The following is a 13,667-nucleotide window of genomic DNA, read 5'->3' on the forward strand; positions in this document are numbered from 1 at the left end:
CCGCGCCTGGCTAGGAGATACAATCTTTATAAGTTCTGAGTTTAATGTGTCTATATGAACTACCTTATTAATTATGTTATTTAGGGCTTCCAATTTTTTTTTTTAATTGAGACCGAGTCTCCTTCTGTCGTACAGGCTGGAGTGCAGTGGCGTGATGTCGGCTCACTGCAACCTCCACCTCCTGGGTTCAGGCAGTTCTTTGCCTCAGCCTCCCGAGGAGCTGGGATTATAGGCACCCGCCACCATGCCTGGCTAATTTTTGTGTTTTTAGTAGAGACGGGGTTTCTCCATGTTGGCTAGGCTGGTCTCGAACTCCTGACCTCAGGTGATCCACCCGCCTCTGCCTCCTAAAGTGCTGGGATTACAGGGGTGAGCCACCATGTCTGGGCTCACATTTTTGTGTGTGTGTGTACCTAGTCTGTCATGGACTGAGAATGGCATACTAAGGCCTCCTATTGTTAGTAACCTATTAAGGTCTCCTCGCATTTTCTGTGGGTTCTGCTTTATGAAAGTTGTTGCTGCCATATTGGTTATCTAGATAGAAATAACTTGTCTCTTCACTAGAGTTGTTGATTTAGCATATCAAGTAGCCTTCTAATTGTTTTCTCAGCCGAGTTGTACTTTGTCAGATATCAAGATGTGTGATCCCTGCTTGCTTCTCCTTGTGTTTGTCTGATATAGATATATATATATTTCTCCATCCTTTTATTATTCTTTCTGAATTGTCTGTACCCAAAATATTGTTTTGCTTTTTAGTCAATATGAAAATGTTGCCTTTTGTTGGATGACTTAAGCTCATTTATACTCATAGATAGGTGATTTAAGCATATTTATATGTATTGATATGATTGATATATTTGGCCTCAGTTTTGCAATATTTACATATATATGTATTTAAACATCTTTTGCCATGTAGTCCATTTTATTTTATTAATATCTTTTTTGGTGCACTTTAGGGCAGACTGTATTTTTGTCTAATTGTTATCATTATATATAGTCCTTTTATTTGTGGCTGTTTTCTGTTGGCTCCCAACTATGAGTAATTATGAAATTAGCTTGCATCTCTTCTTCCTCTCTCCCTTTCTCCGTTTCAGCATCTGATTTGTAAAAAAAAAAAAAAAGCCTTTTACTTCTAATTAAAAAAATTATTAGTAGTCAACAAATTTATTATATTTTATGTGCATTCTTTTCATGTTGCATTGGACCTGTATTGATAGAGGACAGAGCCATAAATTACTATACTCTTTCCCTTACAACTGCCATAAAAGCTTCATTTAGGAAAAGTTCTCTGTAGCATTGATTTTACCATATGTCTTATATCCTTTTCATACTAAAAGATTCTTTAATAGTTTATTGGGCATATGGTGCTATAAATATACATTCATGTAACACTACTTCCTGGAACCTCCTAAAAATGAACAAAACTAACCAAAAATAGAGAAGAAAACAGCTAAAATTCATATCACATTTTATGAAATTTCCAGTGAAGTGTGGATCCATTTGCAGGAGGATACAGAGATGTGGCATCCCCGCCCATCTCTGGCTGGTTGCAGGTGTCTAAGCATAGGTTTCTGAAGGTACTACTCACAGTCGTTACAGCAGAGCTAGGAGCTGATGGATGAATAGACCATTGCCAAAGAAGCATATTCTGGCAGCAGCTCCTTTCCATCCTAAAATATAGCAGGGCATGCTGGGCTGAAAGAGGGATCATGTAGTAATGGTGTCATTATGTTCTTTGACTTTGTTTGACTAAAGGAGAAAATCTGTGAGGATGACCAGCTTATATCTGATCAGGAATTGCTAATATCTAAGATAAGGCATTTCCCCTTAAACCCGCCTGTCCTCCACAATGAACTTTGGAATTAGATATACGCCCAGAACAAAGGATTTAGTAGAATTAGTGGGAAAGTATACCCAAGTTCAGGCTCTGATTGCTCACTGTTCAGCCAATTCTTCTAAACAACCAGAGGACTACACAGAGATTTCAAGACATTGTATTCAGTGTCATTGTAAGCATGGCAACGAGTTGTTGTTGAGCAAGCAGGTCCAGGGAGACCTGCACCCATTCAAAGCTGAGTGTGAAGCAGAAAGGACCCATCATGGGACTATGCACAGAAAATAAGGAAGGAAACATAACAAGCAAAAATAGATGAAAAAGTATACTTTGGAAAGAGTACTTCAGTAATTAGAATGGAATTTTATTTTTTTTTCATTTTTTGAGACAGAGTCTCGCTCTGACACCCAGGCTGGAGTGCAGTGGCTTGATCTCGGCTTACTGCAACCTCTGCCTCCTGGGTTTAAGCCATTCTCCTGCCTCAGCCTCCCGAGTAGCTAGGATTACAGGTGCCTGCTACCATGCCTGGCTAATTTTTGTATTTTTAGTAGAGATGGGGTTTCACCATGTTGGCCAGGCTGGTCTTACTTCAGGTGATCTGCCTGCCTCAGCCTCCCAAAGTGCTGGGATTACTGGTGTGAGCCACTGTGCCTGGCTAGAATGGAATTTTAGATAAAGCCACTTTGCTCTTAAATTTAGACAACATGAGCTCAATAAAACAAAAGAACAAAGAAGTAATTTTAAAAGATTAAAGAAAGCTAAAAGGAGGACATGGAGGTCAGCTGACATCCATAAGGAAAGAAATAGAAAACTAAAATCATTTCAGGAATTAAAAGCATGTTGGAGGTTACATGAGGTAGTACCAGTGGTTCTGAAATCACTGATGTGAGGATCAACTTCCTGAAATTACGTAGACCACGGTAGGAAAGAACAAAGAGGTCATGGTGATTAGAGAGAAGATTGAAGCTGTGGGAGAAGAATCCAGAAGGCATCTACTGTAGTCAGAGCTGGTGTTCCTGCTGAAGAGAACAGAGTGTGTGGAACAGATGTAACATTAATAAATAAAAGACAAAGTTTTCCTGGAATATAATGAAAGATCATATAATATTAATATAAGGACTCACTGTGAACTGTAAAAAATTCAGAGTCATTAAAATGGAAGCGTATCCTGGTTAATTTATAAAACCTGAAAGATAGGCCGGGCACGGTGGCTCGTGCCTATAATCCCAGCACTTTGGGAAGCCGAGGTGGGCAGATCACCTGGGGTCAGACCAGCTGACCAACATGGAGAAACCCCATCTCTACTAAAAATACAAAATTAGCCAGGTGTGGTGGTGCATGCCTGTAAATCCAGCTACTCGGGAAGCTGAGGCAGGAGAATCGCTTGAACCTGGGAGGCAGAGGTTGAGGTGAGCCAAGATCACGCCATTGCACTTCAGCCTGGGCAACGAGAGTGAAACTCCATCTCAAAAACAAAACAAAACAAACCCCTGAAAGATAAAAGAATACTACACATATTTAAGCAGGAAAAAAGCCAACAGGCCACCTATAATGGAAAAAATAAAATCACCTTAGTCTTGGGGTTTTCAACAGTGTAATGTGCCAAAAGATGATGAAGCAATGCTTAAGAATGTAGGGGGACTGGGCACAGTGGCTAATGCCTGTAATCCCAGCACTTTGGGAGGCCAAGGCAGGAGGATTGCTTGAGCCCAGGAGTTGGAGAACAGCCTGGGGAACATAGCAAGACCCTGTCTCTGTCCCCCTGCCCCCTAAAAGAAAAAGCCAGGTGTGGTGATGCGTGCCTGTGGTGTCAGTAACCTGGGAGGCAGAGGTGGGAGGATGGTGTGGATCTAAGAGTTCAAGGTTACAGTGAGTTGTGACTGCGCCACTGCACTCCAGCCTGGGTGACAAAGCGAGACTCTGGCTCAAAAGGAAAAAACAAGAGTAGGGGAGTTAGGGCAAGAAGGAAGACAATGTGATTGGATTGAAATGTCATTAAAATGCAGCATAATAAGACATTTGCAAATGGGCAAAAGCTCAGGAATTAATGGCATTCATAAACCTCACTGAAAAATCTACTTGCAGATATAACCCAGCCAACTGAAAGATGAATCAGTGAGGGCTCCAGAAATAGAAAGGTTGAAGTATAAAGATACCAGCTTCAATAATTGAATAATCTTTCTTGGAGAAATAAGCCAGAAGGCAAAAACAATTGAATAAATACCGACTCAACCTTAAAAATGTCAACACAATGATAACATGCCATAGCAAAATTTCCTGAAAGTCAACAATATCATGGGGGATTAGGTTAGGTTTGGGCTGGGGAGTGGGAGATACCACTGTGCTAATTGTCGTATCTTTCAGAATATGTAGTTAAGGAATACTGTTTCATTTTTTTGAAATTGATAAATTGAGAAGGCTATTATGCTAAAAACAGACTTTGTATACCTTTGAAATGTAAAAGTAAAATTGAGAGGAAGAAAAGCAACCAAATAAAATAGATTACAGAGTAAAAGGAAACAGGCAACAACAAGGAATAGTACAAAAGTTAAAACAAGAGTAAGACTGTTGCACCTGAGATGACCTCACCTGGCATGGACTCAACTAAATTCACTTTCTGTACTAAACAAAAACTATGGTAGTTACATATAAGTCATTCATTCAGAAAGTAAAAGGTTGGAAAAAAATTCAAAAAAGAAAGTAAAAGGGGCCAGACGCAGTGGCTCACGCCTGTAATCCCAGCACTTTGAGAGGCCGAGGTGGGTGGATCACTTGAGGTCAGAGTTCGAGACCAGCCTGGCCAACATGGTGAAACCCCGTCTCTACTAAAAATACAAAAATTAGCTGGGTGTGGTGGTGGATGCCTGTAATACCAGCTACTCAGGAGGCTGAGGCAGGAGAATCGCTTGAACCCGGGAGGTGGCAGTTGCAGGGAGTGGAGATCATGATACTGCACTCCAGCCTGGGCAACAGAGTGACTCTGTCTCTAAAAAAAAAGCAAAAGGATGGTTCAAAAATAAGCCAAGCAAATGCACAGTAAAAGAAAGCGTGAGTATTATTTGATTGCAAAACAAAAAAAAATTAAATGAAACAAGGGTTTAATTGTTATTTTTTTGGTTTATTTAAAAATGTTTGATTTTATCATTGTACTCTGACCCTGCCAGTTAACTGTGGGTGCAGAGAACCTTTGCTTTACACATTCCAGAAAACTTCTGGAGAAGGCTGAAGCCAGGGAGGAGCAAGTGCCCAGCAGTGTGGGGCGGGAGAGGGTCTCACCATGGCCTGAGTATTTTGGGCTGTCCACACTTGCTCCTCAGCCCTCCTATTCCAGTCCCACAGGTACCTGGGCACCAACGAGTTCCAGAGCCTTTAAGGATCTAGGGAGTGTGTTGGGCTCGTTCTCAGCTCTTGCCCCTGCTGTCTTTCTTATATCTCTAAAGTCAGGCACGATGGGTCCTCAGCTTTTCAGGGCCAAAATCTTGCTGTTGTCACCTTTTCTTTTCTCCACATCCTCATGGTTTAATATTGCTTTAAAATTTTTTTGTTGTTGTTTTTTGAGATGGAGTTTTGCTCTTGTTGCCCAGGCTGGAGTGCAATGGCGTGATCTCAACTCACTGCAACCTCCGCCTCCTGGGTTCAAGCGATTCTGCTGTCTCAGCCTCCCGAGTAGCTGGGATTACAGGCATGCGCCACCGCACCCGACTAGTTTTGTATTTTTAGTAGAGATGGGGTTTCTCCCTGTTGGCCAGCCTGGTCTCGAACTCCCGACCTCAGGTGATCCGCCTGCCTCGGCCTCCCGAAGTATTGGGATTACAGGTGTGAGCCACTGCACCTGGCCTACATTTTTTTTTTTTAATTTTTAAAATAATTGCTTAAAATTTTGTTTTGCTTTGGTTTTAGTGGGGCTTTGGGAAAGAGTGAAATTAGATAATATGTTTAGTCCATCATTTAAACAGTTAAAACACTTTTAAAACACTTTAACTGGAAGTCAGAGTTTACCTTACAATAATGTTCAGAATCCACAAAAGGGCAGTGTGCTTTATGATCTTATATATACGAAGTAACATAGAGAAAAAAAAAGTACTCAGAAGGAGAAATAGAAAATTTAAGGACAGGCAAAGATACTGGATTTGGATAAAATATTTAAGTTTGAACTTTATATATTGAATTCTTCGTTCTATAGAGACTATGCTTTTCTATGAAACAAGCCAAGGAGCATTAAAAAATTGGTCATGTAATTTACATTGCACAATATGGAGATTGTGCGTTGCTTTAAAACTATTGTTAGGGTCTGGGAACAATTTTACTTTTATCAAAGCCATATTTAAACTGTGAAAAATCTTAGGAGGGAGTAGAGCTATTATGATTGAAGTTTGGGGTTTGAGACTGGACCTCACCAGGGGTCTCAATCAAAAGAACTTCTCACAGGACACAGTTTGAGAACACCAGCCAGGCATGGTGTCGTGCACCTATAGTCTTGGCCACTCAGGAAGTTGAGGCAGATGATTGCTTGAGGCCAGGAGGTCAATGCTGCAATGAGCTATGATTGCACCACTGCACTCCAGCCTGGGTGACAGAGTGAAACCCTGTCTCAAAAAAAAAAAAAAAAAAAAAAAAAAGATGTAAAACACTGTTTTAAGATGTAACATTTGTACTTTCAAACATAAATTAATTGACCTTAGGGTCATTACCTTCTGCTTAAGACACATGGTTGGAAGAGCAGTTTCAATTATATATAAATATGTTGAGTCAACAGTAGGTTAATTTTCATGACTTTGCAGAACTGAAAAGTCTACATATTACTGCTGTCAAAAGATAGGAGCATTTAACAAGTAAAGTGGAAGAGTCTTCGTGCAAGGACTGTTTAAAATGTTTGGGGCAGGCTGGGCGTGATAGCTCAGCCTGTAATCCCAGCACTTTGGGAGGCCGAGGCGGGCAGATCACCTAAGGTCGGGAGTTTGAGAGCAGCCTGACCAACATGGAGAAACCCTGTCTCTACTAAAAATACAAAATTAGCTGGGCGTGGTGGTGCATGCCTGTGGTCCCAGCTACTCAGGAGGCTGAGGCAGGAGAATCGCTTGAACCCAGGAGGCGGAGGTTGCAGTGAGCCAAGATCACGCCATTGCACTCCAGCCCGGGCAACAAGAGCGAAACTCCGTCTCAAAAAAAAAAAAAATTGGGGGCAAATAATAATATATTGTATGTACAGAGAGAAGCATTGGAAAGATACACAGGAATAGAAGGTGGATAGAAGGCAGAAATGAGGTAGTGTAAGACTTCTTAAGGGATACCTTTTTATATTGCTTTGAATTTTGAGCTATAACATATTCTTTGCTTAAAAGGCAGACGTGTAACTATTGGTAGTGCTTTATGCAGCTATTGATTGGGTCTGCTTCCATAGCTTCCTCTTCTGTCTTTCCTGATTTCTGTATGAGAAAAGGTCTCAGACAAGTTAAGGGACTCATGGAAGGTGGTGTGAGTTTGAGAACATGGCTGGCAATCTGTAAGTATAGTTTATGTATTTTTGAGAGTAGTGCCTACCTCCATCATGCTAGCTTTGGGAAGGTAGTGTTAAAAAAACCAAGGGCTTTTAATGCAAAGTTGATGGTCTTGAATGCTTATATACATATGTTTGGGAAAATTGGATTAGTGTAGTTCTTCCCATTTGGGATAAAATATATATATATAAAAGTGGAAGAGAAATGATATGACATTTTAGCATATAGAGGGACTTTCAAAGTAGAAACATAATAAAGGAAATTATTCAGGAAAATAATTGGTAGATTTGATCACCTGGACTGTTTAAATACTTATATTGCAGAAAATGTATAACAAGGTAAACAACAAGCTGGGAAAAATTAGCAATGTAATGAGCAAGCACAAATATCCTCAGTGTATAAGCATTCACACAAATTGATAAGAAGCACTAAAACTCCAGTAGAAAAGTTATCCAAGGACAATTCATGAGAGAAATAGAGATCACTAGTATACAAAAAATAATATTCAGTAATAAGTAAATAAATCACTGCACCATGAAATCCTACTTCTTTTGAATTAGGAAATATTATCCAAAAATGGCAACATTTAACACTGAGGTAGGGATTATTACCCAGGTTTTAGAGATGAAGAAACCAAGGAATGAAGGGATTAATTTACTTGCCTGAAATCACATAGCTGGTGCTGGGATTTGAACCTAGCATTGTGTCCCTATTAAGCTGGCCTCACATTATAAATATATACTGTTTTCAAGCACTTTCAAGCTATATTATACATCCGTTTATGGCAGTAAGTATACATCTTCATTTTTGATGGTTGTATAGAATTTTATTGAATGGATGTAATATAATTTATTTAATATATCCTCTATTTTGCGTGTTTCCAGGTTCTGGTGGTGGTTTTGCTATTATAGTGCTTCACCGAACATTTTTGTGTGTGTATATCTTTGCATACATGTACAAATACTTATGTGGGGTAGGTTCCTAGAAAGGCACTATTTGGCTAATAGGGTATGTGCATTAAAATTTTTGATAGCTAATGTGACCCTTTATAATGGCTCTTTAACCCTTTACTATCACCTGTGTATAATTTACCACCACCTTCAGTATTAGCACCAGTTTTGAATGGCTTTGCATTAAATTTGTAGGTAGATTTAGTGATATTCAATATTTCTTTAAAAAATATTGACTCTTCCTCCTCCTGAACCAATTGACCAGAAAACAAAAAACAAAAAAAACAAAACGGACTCTTCCTGTGTAAGATTAAGGCATGTCTCTGTTTGTCTGCTTGTATGTAGAGAGTTTATTTAAAGAGCAATATTATTTTTAAGGGTAGGAGTAATAGCTTATTCATGTAGTTATGTGGTGTATTCTTAAGGGTAACATTCTATTGCTGTTGCCATTCTGAGTGGGATGTTTTCATCCATTATATGTTCTTATTGTTAGACAGGGTAGTTGTTGATTTCTGTCTATTCATTTAGTAACTGGTCATCTTTTTGAATTCCCTTATTGCTTTAGTTTTTCACTTAATCTCCTTAGTTATTCAAGGTATACAGTTATCATCTATAAAGAATGAAATTTGCCATGCGCGGTGGCTCACGCCTGCAATCCTAGCACTTTGGGAGGCCGAGGTGGATCGCCTGAGGCCAGGAGTTTGAGACCAGCCTGGCCAACGTGGTGAAACCCCGTTTTTACTAAAAATACAAAAATTAGCCGGGCGTGGTGGTGCACGCCTGTAGTCCCAGCACTCAGGAGGCTGAGGCAGAAGAATCGCTCAAACATGGGAGGTGGAGGTTGCAGTGAGCTGAGATTGTGCCACTGCACTCCAGCCTGGGTGACAGAGCAAGACTCCGTCTCAAAAAAAAAAAAAAGAATTAAATTTTAATCTCCTCTTTCTTCCCAAAATCCTTTTCATTTACTCTTTTCTTTTTGATTTGTAATATCTAATTCTTCCTAACAGTGTAAAATCAGAATAATGATAGTAGATCTCCTTGGCTTAATTCTGGCTTCAATAAGGATTCTTCTAGTGTTTCATTTTATTTTGGTTTGAGATTTTTTTTTTCTGCCATTATCTCTTCCTAAGGAATCTTTCCCTTTTTAGCTTAAGTTTTTTACTTTCCTGGATTGAGCCTAGATTTTTTTTTTTTTTTTTACTACTTATGTTTTTTTATTTATTTTTTATTTTTTTTGAGATAGAGTCTCACTCTGTTGCCCAGGTTGGAGTGCAGTGGCACCAGGGCTCAAGCGATTCTTGTGCCTCGGCCTCCTGAGTAGCTGGGACTGCGGGCACGTGCCACCATGCCCAGCTAATTTTTTGTATTTTAGTATAGAGATGGGGTTTTACCATTTTGCCCAGGGTGGTCTTGAACTCCTGAGCTCAGGTGATCCAACACCTCAGACTCCCAAAGTGCTGGGATTACAGGTGTGAGCCACTGTGCCTGGCCTTTTTTCACTACTTCTTAATTGCATAGTTTGAATTGAAAAGCATTTCCTACATTATTTTTTTTCATAGAGTACCTAAACACACAGTGTTTTAAATAATAAGACAAAATTGCTGCATTTGGTAGCTGGGCTCGGTGGCTCACACCTATAATCCTAGCACTTTGGGAGGCCAAGGTGGGAGGATCCCTTGAGCCCAAGAGTTTGAGACCAATCTGGGCAACATAGGAAGACCCCTCTGTACAAAAAATAAAAAAAAAACTTAGCCGGGTGTGATGGCCTGTGCCTGTGGTCCCAGCTACTTGGGAGGCTGAAGTGGGAGGATCACTTGAGCCCAGGAGGTTGAGGCTGCAGTGAGCCGTGATCACACCACTGTACTCCAGCCTGGGTGACAGAGTGAGACTGTGTCTCCAAAAAAAAAAAAAAAAAAAAAAAAAAAAAAAAAAAAAAAAAAGGACATATGAGTTATTTCTTCTGAACTTCTGACCAGTATTAAACTTCAGTATTATAGACATATCGTGCTAAATGTGGTGGGTGGAAGAAGGTTGTGGTATAATGTGACAGTGAGGAAGCTTGCATTATATAAAAATGCTAAAGGTGACTTCATGTGGCGTAGTTGAGGTCAGTGAGTTCTAAGCTGGTTGACCACCAGAACCATGCGGGTGAGCGAGGGGTGTTAAGAACACAGATGCCCAGCCTTCTCTGGAGATTCCCATTTAGTGAATCGCGCACAGCCCCTGGGAATCTGTTTCCGGAGTTTCCCAGGTGATCTGGTCAGCCACATGTGGCTTATTCTTCCTTGATGCCTACCCAGATCTTAAACTTGCCTTCCAGGTAAAGTAAGCCATGCTACAACTGGAAAACTCAATCTGAAGTCCTGTAACTAATAGGTAAACATTTTGAGGAACACTTTGAGGACCTGGGCCATGTCCACCCGCCTCCCCTATCCTCAGTCTGAGTATGGCTCAGTGACTAGTACAGTGCCTGCTACATTGTTACTAGCTAGTAAACTGGTTGAAATAGGGAACGTTTCTTTTTTTGGTAAATGGTGTCTTGAGCACTTGCCATATTTAAGAATTGTGTTTTGCTTTTGTTTTTTTGGTCCTGCTCTTCATGGCATTGAGCTGTGATGTTAACATCTCTAATGGGGCAGGCCAGTCTAGCATTGAGTTCTCCTCCTGGGAAAGAATTTGAGGATGCGTACTTTTTAGATGACATCTACTGAGTTATATTTAATAGATTGTCATTGAAGTTAGTGATGGATGAGCCTATGTTGGTGCAGATTTTATTAAAATTTTAAATTTGAATGTCTCAGATTTTGTTTGATGTTTGTTACATTATGATTATTCAAAGTAACAAAACTTCAAGTGCATTTGATACTATTAATATATAAGGAATAGCCCAGGAAAATGGAAAGATATTATATTAGAATAAAGTGATCTGAAGAATTTGTGCTTTTGCCAGTGTTTTTAAAAATAACGTCAGTTCTGCTAGGAGGGTAAGGATCTCATAGTAAGTTGTTAACACATAAGAATATTAGGGCCAGGCACGGTGGCTCACGCCTGTAACCCAGCACTTTGGGAGGCTGAGGCAGGCAGATCACAAGGTCAGGAGTTTGAGACCAGCTTGGCCAACATGGTGAAACCCCATCTCTACTACAAATACAAAAATTAGCCGGGTGTGGTGGCAGGCGCCTGTAATTCCAGCTACTGAGGAGGCTGAGGCAGGAGAATCGCTTGAAACAGAAAGGCGGAGGTTGCAGTGAGCCGAGATCGCGCCACTGCACTCTCTAGCCTGCTCGAAAGAGCGAAACTCTGTCTCAAAAAAAAAAAAAATTAATATATCTTCATGTTAGTTTGCCTCGGTCACGAAAATCATTGTTGGCTTAATGTCATTGATACTTAAGGTACCCGTGTGACTTTGACAGAGACCTCCTTCCAAGACTATACTGTCTAAAAGAATGTTGTGACTTAAGAATCTGAACATTCCAGCAGCTGTTGCTGAGTCGTATCATCAGTGTTTAGTTGAATTTTAGAGTTGTGAGCCTAACAGTGCTCAAGTCTGTTTTTGTAGTCTGACCTTTTCCTGCTGTGGGCCATAGTTATGATTTCAGGGTACAAAACTTTGGGATGGAAATGAGGCATAGTTGTTGAAGGCCTATCAGGTATCTACTAGATTTACCATTTGTTTCATACATTTCATTCTCACCACTATACAAATTAAACTGTCCATGGTGCACAGTGGGAAGAATGAATGCTATCACTTGGGATATAGAACAAATTGCTTTTTGTTTGTTTTTTTTAACTTTTCAGATTTTTTTTTTTTTTTTTTCGAGACAGGATCTCGCTCTGTCACCCGGGCTACAGGGCAGTGGGGCAGTCATAGTTCACTGCAACCTCGAACTCCTGGGCTTAACGGGTCCTCTTGCCTCAGTCTATTATCCCCATTTTATAGTAACTGACATACAGATAGGTAAAGTAACTTGCCCAAAGATACACATTTGGCAAATAGTGGGGCTGGGATTTGAACTCAGTGTGGTGCCAAAGTGCATGATCTTAACCAGTATAGGATACTCAAAATACGAAGATGATATAATAGCCTGAATGAAACTTAGCACCTAATTTTAATAAATGTTAACGCTTTACCATATTCGTTTCAGTGGTTTTTTTTTTTTTTTTTTTTTTTCTGAAACCCATTACACATAGACCACTGCTCCTCTTTAAGTAGGAGATTGTAGGAGATGATATCTGTGATTTTTTTTTTCTGGTTCCATCAGATTCTTTTTCTGACTTTCAGCATCCCTCTTGCAAATATTGGTCCTTCCGCTGGCGGTTTGACAATGATTACCTTTTTTACAACTGGTGAGAATACATTGAGCTGTTATTTCTGGAGTATTTGCCATGTGCCAGGCACTGTGCCGGGGGTGTAGATATAACCATGAGAAAGGACCCTGTTCTGGGCAGCGTGTGGAACTCATAGTCTAACAGTGTGGGAAGGTGGATTTATTTAAGCATAAGGTGCATCATTTTTGTGGGAAGTAGCTGATGTAGCTTGTTAAAGACACAGATTTGATGATTTTAGTGATTTCTGGTCTGCTTGTTGGATTCCATAGGCATCTTTAGCCTTGGGTTAGTAATTCACTTATTTATATTTATTTTCTGGAATATAATTCCAGAAATATGTTAAAATTGGGAAGGATCTGGAATTCTAAAGGTCAGGCTCTCTATTGCCTCCACCCTGGGTTGGCTCTTGGTTGGCTCTGAATTCTACCTTGTAGGTGGAACCCCGGAGTGGAGTTGTGGTAGGTCCACTTGGCCTTGTACTCTGTTTCCAGCTCTTGAGTTGTGGAGCTGGAGAGGGCTTCACCTGGGTCTTGCCTCCAGAAGCTCCTTGTAGGCCTGAGGAGTCTCAGGACTTGGCATTGCCCTGGCTCCTGTGGCACGAAGACCTCAGGTCCTGTGGAAGTTGAGCAGCAATGTGTGATTTGAGGGGAGCTGACTTGTTTTTTTTTGGTTTCCCCAGACCTTATCCATTCACTGTGTGTTCAAAAATAGTAAAATTAGCATATGGTAAACCATACTTAAAAATCGTAAAATTAATTTATTAGAATTTAGAAATATTACCGGATCAAAAATTTAATATTAAGCATATTGAAATAATTTTTAAAATTGAATGAATAAAGTTAGTTTCAACACTGCTGGTGTTAGCAGTGTTGAAATAATAATAATAAGCATTATTACAGAATGACGGCTTGGTTGTCCAGACGTTACTGTTAATTAGAGTAGTCCTAATAAGAAAGGAAGCGCTGATGAGTCTTCTCGATTTACTTACCGCGTTTCAACTTTATTTCCAGCAGATGGTTCTGAGTGGTGGTTTTTTTTCCCACCACCCCCCCTTTT

At 40.1% G+C, this 13,667-nt stretch overlaps 1 protein-coding gene across 15 annotated transcripts in view; it reads left to right on the top strand.

Moving 5' to 3' along the window:
- ACTR3B (actin related protein 3B) overlaps nucleotides 1-13,667 on the top strand; it is a 95,627-nt gene that overhangs the window by 9,012 nt on the left and 72,948 nt on the right. The gene's annotated exons all lie outside the window — the stretch shown is intronic.

This window comes from Homo sapiens, chromosome 7, assembly GCF_000001405.40.
Source record: "Homo sapiens chromosome 7, GRCh38.p14 Primary Assembly".
NCBI classification, from domain to species: domain Eukaryota; kingdom Metazoa; phylum Chordata; class Mammalia; order Primates; family Hominidae; genus Homo; species Homo sapiens.